Below are 16,900 nucleotides of genomic sequence, written 5' to 3'. Positions count from 1 at the left end.
TACTCCCCTCTCCCCACCCCTGAGTTTGCTTTTTCGCTTTGTTTTGTTGTTCTTGTTGTTGTTGTTTGTTTTTTTGGTGTTTTGCCTTTTCTTGAGAGGAAGCCTCACTCTGTCACTAGGCTGGAGCGCAGTGGTGTGATTTTGGCTCACTGCAACCTCCACCCCCTGGGTTCAAGCAGTTCTCCTGCCTCAGCCTCCCGAGTAGCTGAAACTACAGGCGCGCACCACCATGCCTGGCTAATTTTTGTATTTTTAGTAGAGATGAGGTTTCACCATGTTGGCCAGGCTGGTCTCGAACACCTGACCTTGTGATCCACCTCTCAAAGTGCTGGGATTACAGGCGTGAACCGCTGCGCCTGGACCCCCAACGTTTTTTGTCTTTTTTTTTTTTTATTATTATTATTATTCAAAATAAGACCCTCCCTGCCTTGAGACCTTGACACATGGTCTTCCTTCCTTCCAAAGTGACATCCTTTCACCTGGCTCACTCTTTATGTTTCACAGCTCAGCTTCACCGTGGCTTCTTTGGAAAGGTCTATAGACCTGGTTTGCATCAGATCACCTGGCCCCATCTCTCTCCTCCCCTGGCCGCCCGTACTTTTCATTCATTGCATCCAACACCTTTTGTAAAATACGTTGATCTGTTTTCTCCATCCAACATCCACTGGACTGTCAGCTCCTTGAATACAGATTCAACACTGGTTTTGTTCATTTGGGCATTCTCAGTGCCTGGCAGCGTAGCTGCTCTGTGAACATTTGAGAAGGGAAGGAGGAGGGTGGGAGGAAGGAAAGAGAGAATGCCTGTATTCACTGACAGTGAAAAGATGTCAGGAGTACATTACTGAAAACAGAATGCATATGACAAAGCAGAACATACATGATTATATATAACGTGAGTGCATAAAACTATTTGCAAAATGTTCACTGAACGTTTGTTAACAATGGTGATATTTTGGCACTAATATCTGGGTTTTTTTTTACTTCATATTGTTCTGTATGCTTGAATTTTCTACAGTAAGTATTATCTTTGTAGACAGAGAAATCCAAGAAACAATCAGAAGCACCTAAGAAGTGAAGCTAGAACAGAGTTCGAAACGAGGTCCTCCTTGGTTTTCTCCCAGGAACTGCAGCTCCCCAAGTGGTGTGGTCTCCTTGTCTGTGTATCAGAGCCCCGGCCTGAGGCTGAGCCCAGCTCACATCATTGCAGGGAGAGGGATCTATTGAGATCCCAGTGCATTTGAGGTGCTCGTTGTTACCCACTGTTGTGAACCCTGTTGCATGTGTGTTTCTATGTCCATTTATTCAACAGGAATTTACTGTATGTTCCAAGTGCTCCTGGCATTGTCACCAGACACTCTCCTAGGCCAAGTAAATGAAACACCATCCCTGCCCTCTAGGAGCAAAACCAAATGTTGTGTTGACTATTGCTGCTCGTTGCTGTTGTGATCAACCGGAGATTTCATTAGCAGTAGGCTTGACGAAGAGGACCACTGTGCTTAGAGATGTAGTCCTTATATTTCAAGAGGCAGGATGACAGAGTATCCTGGAATCAGTTTGCTTGGACTCACATCCTAGCTCCATTACTTGCTAGCATTTGATCATGGGCAGATTACACTCTTTCTGTCTGCCTCAGTTTCCCCATGTGTAAAATGAGAATGATAGCAGGACCTCATAGGTTTGCTGCAAGAACTCAATGAGATGATATGTGTACAGGGCTTGGCCGAGTGACCAGCGCAAAGTAAATCCTACCCACATGAGCTTTTATAATTATTCCTGTCTGCATTATGTGACGTGACAGCATTAATGTGACAAATGGGAAACGATTTGGAGAAATGTCCCTTTTTTAAAAGAAGGCACCTGCAGAACATATTTATGGTTTATGATCAGGAGGCAGCGTTAATGGCCCATAATGTGATTACTATGAGGATTTTTATTAGGAAAATTCCAACCAATTTGGCATTAATTAATGTACTGTTAACTTTAGAGTGTTACTCACTTAATCCTTGGAGAGTTGGAGAAAATAAACCTGTTGTCAAAACCCTCCCTCTGAGAAGTAAATAAGAGTTGTTCCCTCCTCGAGAGGCTCCATTTGTAATAAAAATAGATGAGTCGCTGCGTTTTTCCATGGCAGTATTTATTGAGCCTGCGAGTCCCTTCAAGAGAGGAGAAACGAGGGCAGAGATGAAAATGTCAAGCGACAGGAAGGCTCGTAGGAGAACTTGCACACAGCAGCCTCTGGGTCAAGAGGGCAGGGAGTACAGATAGAGCAGGCTTTCTGGACACACGAAGCACAGAGTGCAGGATATGGGGGCCCCTGCCTGTCTTTCCACCCCATGAAGCAAGGCATCCCACACCACCCCATCTGGGAATTTCAAAATGTGTCCTGCCTGCCACCCACTCCTCAACCATGGATAACAAGCCTGATGAAAGGGCTTGTTACTCTCTTCAATTGCAGTCCTTAAGGTGGTACCCAAGACCCTGTGTGATGCCTCTGCTGTCGGCCCATCCTCATCTTCTGCACTTCCTCTTGGCCTCAGTTCCAGCCACACTGGCCTTCCTGTATGTCTTCTCCTTACCATACTATCATTCGTGACAGGCCCTTTGCATATGCTGTTCCCTCCACTTAGGGACACTTTTCCCTCTTCTCTTACCTAGTTAACTCCTCACTCAACCTGTCAATTGTAGTCTAAGGGGCACATCCCTGGCCTCCTTGAGTTGTATATTAGTCTGCCTGGGCTATCATTTAAAAAAAATTACCATAGACCAGGTGGCTTAAAAAACAAATATTTGTCTCCATTTTGGAAGCTATGAATCTGAGATCAGGGTGCCAGCATGGTTGGGTTCTAGTGAGGGCCCTCTTCCTGGCTTGCAGATGGCCGACTTCTCACTGTGACCTCATGTGGCAGAGAAATAGCAAGCTCTCCAGTGTCTCTTCTAAGAGCAAAAATCCCCTAAATTCAAGGCTCCACCCTTAGGACTTCATTTAACCTTTTTGTTTGTTTGTTTATTTCAGAGGCAGTCTTGTTTTGCCACCCGTGCTGGAGTGCAGTGGTGCAACGTCTGCCTCCTGGGTTCAAGTGATTCTCCTGCCTCAGCCTCCTGAGTAGCTGGGATTACAGGTGCCTACCACCATGCCTGGCTAATTTTTGTATTTTTAATAGAGACAAGTTTTTACCATATTGGCCAGGCTGGTCTTCAACTCCTGACTTCAAGTGACCCACCCACTTCGGCCTCCCAAAGTGCTGGGATTACAGGCATGAGCCGCCACACTCGGCCCAACTTCATTTAACTTTAATCACCTCCTTAAAGGCCACATCTCCAATACGGTCACAGGAGAGGCTAGGCCTTCAACATATTAATTTTCGGGGGACACGATTCAGTCCTAGCAAATCCTGTCTTTGGAAAAGGAAAGGATACCTCAGCATCGAGAAACAGAAGCAGAGGTTTCGTGAGATTAAACAACATTTTGGCTTCACAGAAAGGGTGATTGGAGGAGCATAGAGGGAAATGAGGTTGGAAAGAGGAGAAGAGAAAATGTAGTCATTTGCAAATCATTATTTAAGGCAACAATAATGATGGCCACCATTTCATTTTCTGCATACCACATACTGGTCCTGGAGATATTTATGTGTTTATTATCTGTCTTCTTTCTCAGGAGAGGCTGCTTCTCATAAGCAAAAGCTCTTGTGGCGTGTGCATGAGTCTATTTTTCACTCCCAGAATGGTGCCTGCCTGGCATATCATAGACATTCGTTCCAGTTACTTCTGCTGGGTAGCAAACCCCCCCAAACTTAGTGGCGTAAAACACCATCACTTGTTATGCTCTTGGATTCTATGGATCAGGAGTTTGGAAAGAGCACATAGGAGACAGGGGAAAGACATAATGCCCCAGGTTCAGAGCTACTGCTCTGTACTAGGCACTTCTCTGAGCATAATTCCATCCATCAGTTCCTCCCTATGAAGGAGGGTCAATATGTATCCCTATTTTACTGATGATGAGCTAGAATCTTTGAGAGGTTATATAGCTTGCCCGACCTCCCAGAGTTAATGGGGGAAGAGCCATGGTTTGAATGCAGATCTGTCCGATTTCAAAACGAAACTTCTTTCCACTCTGCTATGTAGCCTTTCCAGAGTGGCTACCTGTGTTTGCCAAAAAGTGGGAGGCCATCTTGGCAGGAAGCCTTCTGCCTCCCAGGGAGATGAGTGGTTCTCAAACCATGCTGGTCCCCTAGGGGGCACTGGGAAATGCAAGTGAGGAGAGGCTGTTATGGGGACTAGGGATTTCAAATGCCCTGTAATCATGGGATAATACCACTCAAAGAATTGTCTCTTCCCAAGTGACAGTAGTCCCTGTTGAGAAATACTGCTTGAGAAGGGAGGAGGATCTGTGAAATATTGATCTGTGCTGAAACCCTCTGAAAGGTTGCTCAAATGGCTAGGTGCGGCAGATCATGCCTGTAATCCCAGCACTTTGGGAGGCTGAGGCGGGCGAATCACAAGGTCAGGGGTTCAAGACCAGCCTGGCCAACATAGTGAAAACTGTCTCTACTAAAAATACAAAAAATTAGCCGGGCATGGGGGTGGGCACCTGTAATCCCAGGTACTCGGGAGGCTGAGACAGGAGAATCGCTTGAACCCAGGAGGCGGAGGTTGCAGTGAGCAGAGACCTCACTACTGCACTCCAGCCTGGGCGACAGTGCGAGACTCAGTCTCAAAAAAAAAAGAAAAGAAAAGAAAGGTTGTTCCAATACAATAGAAGCTCAGGGGTTAAAAGTCCCCATTTTAGTGTCTGACAGATGGAGGGTTGAATCCCAGTTCTGCAGCATATTAGCTGACCAGGTCAGGTAACTACTCAGAGTCTTTATTTCCTTATCTGTAAAATGGGAATAGTCAGAATGCCTCCCTCAAAGGTCTGCTGTGAGGAGTAAATGAGGTAAGGTCTTGTATTGGTTCATTCTCCCATTGCTATAAAGAAATACCTGAGTGGATAATTTATAAAGAAAGGAGTTTTAATTGGCTCTCAGTTCTGTGAGCTGTACAGGAAACATCAAGGCTTCTGCTTCTGAGGAGGCCCCAGGAAACTTACAATTGTGGTGGAAGGTAAAGGGGGATGTAGGTATGTCTTACAGGGCCGGAACAAGAGCAAGACAGGGGAGGTGCCACACACTTTTAAACACGCAGATCTCTAGAGAACAGCATCAAAGGAATGGTGCTAAACCATTCATGAAGGATCCACCCCCATGATCCAGTCACCTCCCACCAGGTCCCACCTCCAACACTGTGGGTTACCATTCAACATGAGATTTGGTTGGGGACACAGATCCAAACCATATCAAGTCTGTTAGAAAATGCTCAGCCCAGGACCTGGCACACAGTGGCCACATTGCTATTATCATAATAGCTCTTTCATCCTTGATGCACAGAAAAGGTAACATCAGCAGGATGGATAAGAGCTTGCAGGCCACAGCGCAGCGTTTTCACAGATGATATGTTACAGGCCAAGTGACTGGGACCCAGTGAATTGCAGTGAAATGTACCATACACCGTCAATATCTATCCCACCAGTTTCCATTTATTGAGCAGTATATCATTAGAATATCCCAGGGCTCTGAACAATAAAATCAATAAGACGGTTCAGTCATGGGCTGTTCTTTAATAACTCCAGACTTGAATGGGGTCGGGGGAAGTCAGTGAGCAGGAAAATGTCCTGAGTGCTTGGTCGGGGGTGGAGGGAGACATTTTCTCAGAGTGGGAGAAAAATAATGAATGAGGTAGCCTTCAGTCTCTGGTGGAGTGAGTGGCCATGAGCATTTGAGGCAACAGCCAAAGATATGTTTGGGTAAAATTCTTTCCACCTCGAGAGATGCGTTTTTTAAAAGATGGTTGAAAAGAAAAGAAAAGGTGTCCAAAATGTGGTTCTCAACCCTGACTGCATGTCAGAATCACAGGGGGAGTTTCAAAAGAGTCCCAATACTTGCGCCCACCAAACTAATTAAGTTAGAATTTATTGGGGTGGGGCCGAGGCATGAAGATGTTTTTCTAAAAAAAAGATGTTCAGATGATTTTAAATGTGCAGCCAGGGTTAAGAACCACTGGCCTAGGCAAACATGAGCCTGTATCACAATCACCTGGAGAGCTTCTTACAACACAGAGTCCTTGTCTCCCACACCCAGAGTTTCTGATTCAGAAGGTTTGGGGTTGGGGCTGAAACTTACATTGCTAACAAATTCCCAGGTGTTGCTGATGCTGCTCATCAGAGACCACATCTAGAGAGCTTGTCCTAGAACAGTGGTTCTCAACTGGGAGCAAATTTTGCCTCTCCACGCCCTATCCCCCACCAGGGGGACACACATCAATGAATGGAGACATTTTAGGTTTTGTCACAACTAGGTGAGTGCTACTGGCACCTAGTGGGTAGATCCAGCGATGCTGCTAAACATCCTACAGTGCGCAGGACAGTCCCCTCCACAACAAGGAATTATCTGGCCTCAAATATCAATAGTGCCAAGGTTGAGAAATCTTGCTCTAGGGGAGACGATAGTTTTGAAGCCATTCTGAGAACATGAGGCTTTGGTTCCCATCAAGCTTAGCATGGGAGCCTGAGTGAAGATGAGGATGCCAGATTCTTGCTAGCCAAAGCCTGGTCATAGAGCATGGTATTTGACGTCAGAACAGTGCGTATCCTAATTTCTTCTCCACCTCTTGGCTCTGTGACCTTGGGCAAGTTCCTCACCCTCTCTGAGCCTGGGATGATTATCTATAAATGGGGATAATTTTCATTTGCAGCATTGTTACAAGAGGTAAAAGCCTCATGAGTGAAAGAACCACATGAATGTTAAGTACTCAACAAATTAGAGTAAGAATCAAAAGGACAGTGTTTCTCCACAGACTTCTGTCTCTCTAGCAGGGAGGTGCTGTCCCAAAAGCCCACCCCAGGAGACTCCTGACAAACCCTCCTGGGCCCCTAAAGCAAGTGGGAGCCCTCATCCAGAAAGATCAAAACATTGTCTGGACCTTTGGGTCCTTGCAGGATGGATGGGGCTGCTTGAGTATCCCCCTGCCCTTTGCCTTTACCTCCTCTCATTTGTTTAACAAACTCAGCACATCCTAGTTTGGAAGCAAAGCTCATGGAGCCTAATTAACATTCCCCAAGCTTCCTTCGCATCCCTCCAGCCTTCACAATTCTGCCATATCCACATTCCACCTGCCATATTATTCTTGTAGTATTTTTACTGCAATAGACTCGCCTTTATTTTTATGTAAGCACATTTTATTTTAAAAGTAATTTTGCATCATGGCCATAAGTGGAAATCTTGCTGTCACTTGCCATGAGGAGACAGCAACAATGCGAAGAAATCAGTGAAACAAAAACAATGGCATTCAGTGCTAGCCGGGCACTCCTGTTACCTGCTGGAGATGCCAGTTCTGGGGGCAGGATTCTGCTTTTTGGAAAAGGAAGTTCAGTAGGGGAGTGCTGCTGAAGATTTGTTTGCATTGACCTGAGAGTTTGCTGGTAGGGTATTCAGGAGAGGTGGGTAAGAATTGAAAAAAGATTCACAGTCCCCCCTGACTCAATGCCATTCGATGTGAGCAGCATGTGAATCCTCTCTTGGGTAACTCTGACATCGCATTTAAGAACACACTGGGCAAGGTGGCTCACACCTGTAATCCCAGCACTGGGAGGCTGAAGGGGGAAGATCACTTGAGCCCAGGAGTTCAAGACCAACCTGGGCAACATAGGGAGACCTTATCTCTACAAATAATTTTTTTTTTAAGATGGAGTCTCATTTTGTCACCCAGGCTGGAGTGCAATGGTGTGATCTTGGCTCACTGCAACCTCCGCCTCCTGGGTTCAAGCAATTCTCCTGCCTCAGCCTCCTGAGTAGCTGGGATTATAGGCGTGCACCACCATGCCCAGCTCATTTTTGCATTTTTAGTAGAGACAGGGTTTCACCATATTGGTCAGGCTGGTCTCAAACTCTTGACCTTGTTATCCACCTGCTTTTGCATTTTTAGTAGAAACGGGGTTTCACCATGTTGGTCAGGCTGGTCTCAAACTCTTGACCTTGTGATCCACCCACCTCAGCCTCCCAAAGTGCTGGGATTACAGGCGTGAGCCACCACAGCCAGCCTACAGATAATTTTTCTAAAAAAATTAGATGGACATGGGATGCATGCCTCTGGTCCCAGCTACTCTGGAGGCTGAAGAGGGAGGATCATTTGAGCTCATGAGTTTGAGACCAGCCTGAGCAGCATAGGGAGACCTGGTCTCTACAAATATATATTTAATTAGCCAGGTGTGGTGTTCATGCCTCTAGTCCCAGCTACTCAGCAGGCTAAGGTAGGAGGATCTCTTGAGCCTGGAGTTTGAGACTGCAGTGAGCCATGATCACACCACTGCACTCCAGCCTGGGCAACAGAGCGAGATCCCGTCTTACGAATTTAAAAAAGACAAAAACAAAACCACAATCGCTATAGTCCTCAGGATCAGGTCCCTGTTAAACACTCTCCAGCCATGTGATTAGTTACAAGTTCAAGTGTGATGGGCGAGGTCCGCGGAGTCACACCACATGAACTCCTCCACAATCAGGCTGTATGGCTTTATTTTGCCTCATTTATAGCTGTGCTTACAGCATCACTTAGAGGTGAGTTCTCTTTGACAGATGAGGAAACTGAGGCATGAGAGGCAAAGTGACCTCCTAATAAATGGTAGGGCTGGGATGCAGACCCAGGCTAACCCCTTCTGTGGAATAGCTGAGTTAGGAAGTGCAGGATGGGCTCCTAAAAATAAAACATTACAAATAGTGACTTTATGATCCACCAATTCCATTTCTGGGAATATACTCCAAAGAATTGAAACAGTGACTCAAACAGGTACTTGTACACCCATGTTCAGAGCAACATTATTCATAACAGCCAAAAGGTGAAAGCCATTCAAGGGTCCATTGACAGATGAGTGGATCAATTGTGCTATATGCATACAGTGGAGTATTACTTGCCCTGAAAAAGGAATGAAATTCTGACATAGGCTACGACGTGGACAAACCAGGAGGGCACTGCGCCAAGTGAAAGGATCCAGACACAAAAGGAAGAATAATGTCTGATGTCACTTACATGAGGTTCCTTATCAAATTCATAGAGGCAGAAAGTAGAATGAAGCTTTCCAGGAGCTGAAGGAGGGGAGAGTGGGAAGTTATTGTTCAATGGATAGAAAGTTTCAGTTTTGCAAGATGAAAAGAGTTCTGGAGATGGATGGTGATAATAGTTGCACAACAGTGTAAGTATATTTATTATACTAAACTGTAAACTTAAAAATGCTTAAAATAGGCCAGATGTGTCTCATGCCTGTAATCCCAGCACTTTGGGAGGCCAAGGTGGGCTGATCACCTGCAGTCAAGAGTTTGAGACCAGCCTGGCCGACATGGCAAAACCCCATCTCTACTAAAAATACAAAAAAATTAGCCGGGCGTGGTGGTGGGCACCTGTAGTCTCAGCTCCTCAGGAGGCTGAGGCAGGAGAATCGCTTGAACCCGGGAGGTGGAGGTTGCAGTGAGCCGAGATTGTGCCACAGCACTCCAGCCTGGGTGACAGTGAGATTCCATCTCGAACCAAAAAAGGCTAAAATAGTAAATTATATGTTATCCATGTAGAGCATCCTTAATTCAAAAATCCAAAATCTGAAGTACTCCGAAATCCAGAACATTTTGGGCACATAATGCTACAAGCGGAAAATTCTATACATAAATGCTTAATGCAACTTTGATTAATGCACACAATTATTTAAAATATTGTATAAAATTACTTTCAGGCTATGTGTATAAAGTGTATATGAAACAGAAATGGATTTTGTGTTTAGGCTTGGGTCCCTTCCCCAAAATATCTCATTACATATACACAGATACTTCAAAATCTGAAAAAATTCAAAATTGGAAACACTTCTGGTTCCAGGCATTTCACATAAGGGATACTCAGCATGTATTATCTTGGACTACAACTTTTTTTTTTTTTTAAAGAGAAGTGCAGGATGTTCAGAGGGGCTGTGACAGGGAACTCAAAGAAGGGATGGGGGCCAGGCACAGTAGCTCACACCTATAACACCAGCACTTTGGGAGGCTAAGGGAGGATTGCTTGAGCCCAGGAGTTTGAGACCAGCCTGGACAGCATAGCAAGGCACTGTCTCTACCAAACATTTCAAAATTAGCCCACATGGTGGTGGTCACCTATAGTCCCAGCTACTTGGGAGGCTGAGGTGTGAGGATCCCTTGAGCCCAGAAATTTGAGGTGGCAGTGACCTATGATCATGCCACTGCACTCCAGCCTGGGTTACAAAGCAAGACTCAATCTCTGAAAAAGAAAAAGAAAAAAAAGTCATTAAAAATATTTTTTAAATGAAGGGATGGGGAAGAGAGTCAGGGAGGGCTTCCCAAGGAAGGGTCATTTCTCCTGAGACCTGACAGGTGCTGGCTTGGCCACCTTCATCCTTGGACCTATGTTCTTTCAGCTCCCCTCTGTGGACCCCATGACCCCCAGTTCACATCCCCTCCACCCCTCTCTTCTCATTAAGCTGGGTGGGAGGGGACCTGGTGGCCCCGCATGAGCAGCAGCTGCGGTGCAGAGCAGTCTGGGCCGTTGACTGATTCCTCCCAGCAGGGCTTGGTGCTGCTGAGCAAGGGTCCACAGACCACCCAAAAGCCTCAAGGAAAAGTGGGGGTGCCTAGCCTCCATCCAGTTTGCTGGATGAGAGGAGACAGCCATGGGCAACCTCTCAGGCCTGAGTCTTCAACTTTGCCCCCTCATCCCCACCACCGGGACCCTGTATGTGGATGAAGCTGTCTGGCTAAATCTGTCAGTCAGAAATCATTCATTGAGGCCTCTCCCCCAAACTTAGCTCTGTACCAGGTCCAGGGGCAAGGCTGGCATCCTACAAGAGATAAGAGCATGACCTTGGCTCATAGGGAACGAACTGACAGGTATCAAGAGAACCAACCTGGGCTAGGCGCTGTGGCTCACGCCTGTAATCCCAGCACTATGGGAGGCTGAGACAGTTAGATCACCTAAGGTCAGGAGTTCGAGACCAACCCAGCCAACACGGTGAAACCCTGTCTCTATCAAAAATACAAAAAATTTAGCCAGGCGTGGTGGCAGGTGCCTATAATCCCAGCTACTCAGGAGGCTGAGGCAGAAGAATTGCTTGAACCTGGGAGGCAGATGTTGCAGTGAGCCAAGATTGCACCATTGCACTCCAGCCTAGGTGACAAGAGTGAAACTCTGTCTCAAAAAAAAAAAAAAAAAAAAAAGAAAGAAAAGAAAACCAACCTGACTCTCAAGGGAGTACAGTTCTCTATGTGGCAATGCTAACTCCTGGATCGGGTTAGAATTCCAGATGATTCAGAAATTTCCAGAAATATCCAGAAATTTCATCTCCCTCATTTGGGTTTTTCCAAAATAGGGGTTTTGGAGTCTGGCACACCCAAGTGGTGGTTTCCATTCTCGCACCAACTGCTAACATGGCACCTGCCTCCTGAGACCTTGGGACAATTAAATAATGAGATCACATTTGACTGGTGCTTAGGCCATAATGAGTGTTTGTTTATTTCTGATTTATTTATTTTTAGAGACAGGGTCTCACTCTGTCACCCAGGCCAGAGTGCAGTGACACCATCGTAGCTCACTGCAGCCTCGAACTCCTGGACTCAAGCAGTCCTTCTGCCTCAGCCTCCAGGGTAGCTGGAATTACAGACGCAAGCCACCATGAGAAGTATTTGACGCAAGCATGATAAGTATTTGACATGCATCTGATAGCGTTACTAGTCTTTGAGATTCTACAGGACCAAGGAAAGAAATTGACTTGCCCAGGCCCCCGTGGCTGGTTCACAGCAGAAGCAGGAATTTGAATCCACCTCGTTGCTCTTTATCCAGTATGCTTGTCGCCACACAGCACCGCCTTTTCTAAACCCATCGAGAGCAGGGGATTCTTTCTGGGCACCAGACAGCTCCCAAGTTTAATCACCAGAAAACCTCTTTTAAAATTTCCCACTAGGATAAAGGCATCTCCCACCCAGATCTAACAAAGAACCTTGAGCGTGCAGGTTTTCTCCCCCAGTAAGACGAATCCCGCTCCTCTGCAACGCGCCTGCTGCCGCTGTGAAACTTTTCCTCATCTGTGATCATGAATCACCCTGGAACCCAGCGGGGTCAGAGATGGACCTCTCTTCCCACTTTGTAAATGAAGAACTGACAATCAGAGAGGGGCGGTGTCTTTCCTAAATCCACACAGTGCAAGGTTGCATTCTACACCCCAGCTCTGAATCCCAGTCACACCTTCCCAGGCAGCATAGAAGCTGGGCTCCAGCTGGGAGCTTCCTAACCCAAGCCTCATTTGCATACAACCTTGTTTCCATGTCTCTGTGTTCCCAAGACCCAACTAACCCTCTTAGTTGGAAGTAAGTCAGAAAGTGCCCCTTGCAGCAGCCGGAAGCAGCCCTTTCAGAGTATAAATAGAATCGAGGGCTTTGTTGGTAGAGTAACTATTCCAGTCAAGCAGCTCCTTCACATTTGTTATTAATTGTGGTCTGGGCATACGCTGCAGAGGGAAATTCCGGTTGTAGATGTTTATTTACAAGCAGCAGGCTCTAGAGTACACACAGCCCTGGGAGTCAGTGCAGCTTTGAGGTAGAACTCTGGAGCTGGGCCTGTTGGTTAAATCCTGATCATCGTGGATGAGCAGCCACATAGAAATGATGGCTATGACAGTATAATTTATTGAGGATTTGCTAGATGCCAGGCACTGTGCTCTCTCTTCTGGATGTGAATGTCCATGTGGGGTGGATTCTGTGATTATACATACCCATTTTACAGATCAGAATACTAAGGCTTGGAGAGATTGCATAAAAGGTCCAAGGTCATTCACATCTGCCTGACCACAGGTCATGTTCTAAACCCCTGCACCTTGCTTTCTCCTCCCAAATCATTATTGCAGGACACTGCTAACATGATCTTTGCCAGCACCACAACAGTGGAACAGCATGTTGACCCTTGCAAAGCACCTTCATCTCTGCTATGTCTTTGGAGCCCAAGGATTACATAGTCCTCGTTTGACCCACAATGCTGCTAAGAAATAGGGAATTTGAGTAACAGAACTAACACAGCACAGCTATCTACTGGGGGAGCTCTCCGGGACCCCCCATCATCCTCAGCCTTCACACCTGCACTGCAAAAATATACTTGATATTCTCTCTCGATAAACCTGGCTTGTTAACATTCATCTGAAGTCAGCTTCTCCTGCTGCCTCTAATCACTCTGATTTTTCCACTTATTTTCTGTTTTGTGCCATGGGAATCTGATTACATTGTTAAATTCTTTTTTTTTTTTTTTTTTTTTTTTGGAGCTGGGCACTGTTTGGGTTTTGGTCTTTCAAAGAGTTCCGTGTTCATAAAGACCCACATAGCTCTGACCACATGTCATTGTTATATCTGTCCTGCAGCTGAAAGCTGACACATTTCCTCTAGGGACGGATTTTCCTCTTTTTGAAATGAGGACAGTTTGATTGAGCATGGTGACCATGACAGGGCTCTGGGATCACAGACTCACTCCATTCTCAGCTCAGCTACTTTATAACTGGGACCTCTCCAAGCCTCAGCTTCCTTGTGCCTACAATAGAAAGATAATAGCTCTGTTTTCATAGCAGTTTTGATAGAAATGAATAAAATCATGCACAGAAATTGCTTAACACATAGTAGGCACTCAGTAAATGGTTGATCTTTCTCCTGACTCGCTGTCTTCCCCCTCTGCCCCCCATCCCCATCCGCATCTCTATTTCTCCTTCTCTGCATGTCTCCTTTCTTTAGATATTTTTGTTCCTTCCCACCCACCCCTTCCCCAGAATAGCTGTACTCAGAAGAGCTCTGGGTTTTTTGTTCCCCATTCTCTTTGCAGCTCCCCAGACTAACTGTCTGACCCAAAGATGACTTTATATTTAAGCCAAGGGAGCTCTCTTGCTGGAGTGATTTGTCTTTGATTTCACAGGACTCTGCCCTTTCTCCAAAAGAAAAGCATCCATGTCTGTGTCTGTCTGTAAATCTGTTCTGCCTTTTAAAACTCTAAAGAGAAGTTGTAAAAGACCTCAGCATCAACATCCAAGCCCTTTTTAAAGACCAGCATAGAGTCCTTACACCTATCCTCTATATCGCAAATCTCCACTTCTGCAGAGAGCAAGTGGAAATATCAGGGCTGGCTTTGGACTCGGCAACACTCAGCTTCCCCTCCCACCTCTGTCCTCACTCACTGTGTGACCTGGGAAATGTGCTGACCTCTCTGAGCCTCAGAGGATGATAACGCATTCTTCCCAGGGTCAAATAACAATGGATGCATAGGAGGCACTTAAGAAACACCAGCTCCTCTGGATCAGAGCAGCCACTCTTCTTCAGAACACATTCATTAATTTGCTCATTCAAAAACTATGGCAAAAGATGTTCATGGCTACAGGGAAAAGCAAGGGTTAATCTCAAAGGCCCCATACACCTTAAGTGGATGGATGGTGTTTGGGATGATAAGCTCTTGGAGGCTTTGCTGGATGCATAGTTGGAGGGTTTGCTGTATGCTTGGATGGATGAATGGTTAGATATGGATGAGTGGACAGATGAGTAGTTAGATTTGGATGGATGAATAAATGGATGTATGGATGAATGGGTGGAGCAATGGATGAATGGTTGGACTTGGATGGATGAATAAATGCATGAACGAATGGGTGGATGGGTGGAGGGATGGATGAGTGGGTGGATGGATGGACAGATAAGTGGTTGGATTTAGATGGATGAATAAATGGATGAATGGGTGGATGGGTGGAGGGATGGATGAATGGGTGGGTAGATGGATGGACAGATTAGTGGTTGGATTTGGATGGACAAATAAATGGATAAATGGGTGGAATGGTGGATGGATGAATGGATGAGTGGTTGGATTTCGATCGATGAATAAATTAATGGGTGGATGGGTGGAGGAATAGATGGATGGATGAAAAGATACAGCCTTATTAATCACCTAGAATCAGCATCTCATCTAATACAGAAATACTGGAATACCTATGTTAGTCCTTAAATGCATGCCTACCTGCCTGCAATAACTAACTTACAAAGTATTTGGTTAGCAACAAGCAACTAAAAGCAATTGTTATAAACTTTTCCTTCCAAACTCTAGGTATGATCATATGGTGTGTATTAGTGGTTCAGGGCATGATCTTTGGAATCAGACCTGTGTTTGAATCTCAGCTTAACTAATTAAAGCAGTGTGACCTTGAGCCAATCCCTTGGCCTCTTCTAAGCTGTGGTTTCCTCATTTGGAAAGCGGGGATAATAGCATTACTTTGTAGGATCATTACGAGGATTAAATTATCTAATGAACGTCAAGGGCTGGTCAATGCTCAATAAAAGGTATTGTTATTTTACTGATCCCAAATGTGCCTTCCTGTAACTTTTGTTTCACCGAGAACCAGATGTGTGTCAGATACTGTTCAAGTGTTGCAGATTCTGTGGTAAACAAGGCCAAAATAGCCCCTCATCTCTTGGAGCTAATGTTCTAGTGGTGTGTTCAGATAATAAGCAAGTAAACAGATAAACAATTGCAGACAGTGTTACATGCTATGAAGAAAGTTGAAATCCGGTGAGGTGAAAGAGAGTAAAAGAGGTGCGGGTGAGGTGAAAGAGAGTAAAAGAGGTGGTGGTGAGTCCCCTTTTTGGACTGTGAACTAATGACAAGAAGATGCAGCCACGCAGAGATCTGGGGAGAGGGCGTTCCAGATCACAAGAAGCCAGGGAGAAGGTCCTAAGGCAGAAATGAGCTTGTTTGAGGAAGAGAAAGAAGGCCAGAGGACAAGATGGAATGTGAGACCCACCAATCGAGGGCAGAGAGATCTGAGTAGTTAGATCACACCAGCCATAGAGGCTGTGTAGTGTGATTTGGATATTATCTACGTCAATCTTGTCTTGTCTCCTGGAACTACGTAGAAAGAGCCTCGTTCATTCAGCAACCATTCAGCCTTCTGATGACAGCTTAGACTCCCGATGTCCTAATCCCCCAGCCCCACAGTCTCCATCTCAGTTCTCCCGGTTTAGATGCTGGGACACTTGCAGCTACTACCCTGACAATGTCCTGGGTCCCATAAACCCAGAACTCTTAAGAAATTGGGTTGGACCCAAGTGAAATCAGGCTGAGGAAAGCTAGGAGATTTCTAGTTGGGATTGTAATAAACTAAACTAGGAAGCTGTGTTTTTATCTGAAGCAAGAGAAAGAAAGAGAGGAGTCTTTGAGGCTGATTTTCGGAATAAAATATGTCTGGGACTATTTATCCAAGTGGATGTGGTATAGGATTTGGATTTAAAAGAACATGATAGATGACAGTGGGTGATCTGTAGCCTTACTGATGCAGGAGCTCAAGGCAGGCCACAAGCACCTGGACCCTCATCCCCCCTTGGCAATGTACTCCACATTAGTTTTCTTCTCAGGCAACCTCTCTCCGTGTGGGAACAGAAAGGCTCATAGAATCTTCTAGTCTCCTGTGTAACAGAAAAAGAACCTCTCACCGGGCACAGTGGCTCACGTCTGTAATCCCAGCACTTTGGGAGGCCAAGGTAGGCAGATCACCTGAGGTCAGGAGTTCCGAGACCAGCCTGGCCAACATGATGAAACCCCATCTCTACTAAAAACACAAAAATTAGCTAGGCATGGTGTTGCGTGCCTGTAATCTCAGCTACTCAGGAGGCTCAGGCAGGAAAATCACTTGAACCTGAGAGGTGGAGGTTGCAATGAGCCAAGATCGCACCACTGCACTGCAGCCTGGGCAACAGAGTAAGACTCCGTCTCAAAAAAAAAAAAAAAAAGATAACCTCTCTTATGTAGTAGTTCT

At 45.7% G+C, this 16,900-nt stretch overlaps 1 protein-coding gene across 3 annotated transcripts in view; it reads left to right on the top strand.

Annotated features, from left to right (window-relative positions):
• XYLT1 (xylosyltransferase 1) overlaps positions 1 to 16,900 on the top strand; it is a 369,192-nt gene that overhangs the window by 252,611 nt on the left and 99,681 nt on the right. The window lies entirely within an intron of this gene.

This window comes from Homo sapiens, chromosome 16 (genome assembly GCF_000001405.40).
Source record: "Homo sapiens chromosome 16, GRCh38.p14 Primary Assembly".
NCBI classification, from domain to species: Eukaryota; Metazoa; Chordata; class Mammalia; order Primates; family Hominidae; genus Homo; species Homo sapiens.
Note: the sequence above shows the minus strand (reverse complement) of the source record. Positions and strands in the feature narration are given on the sequence as shown.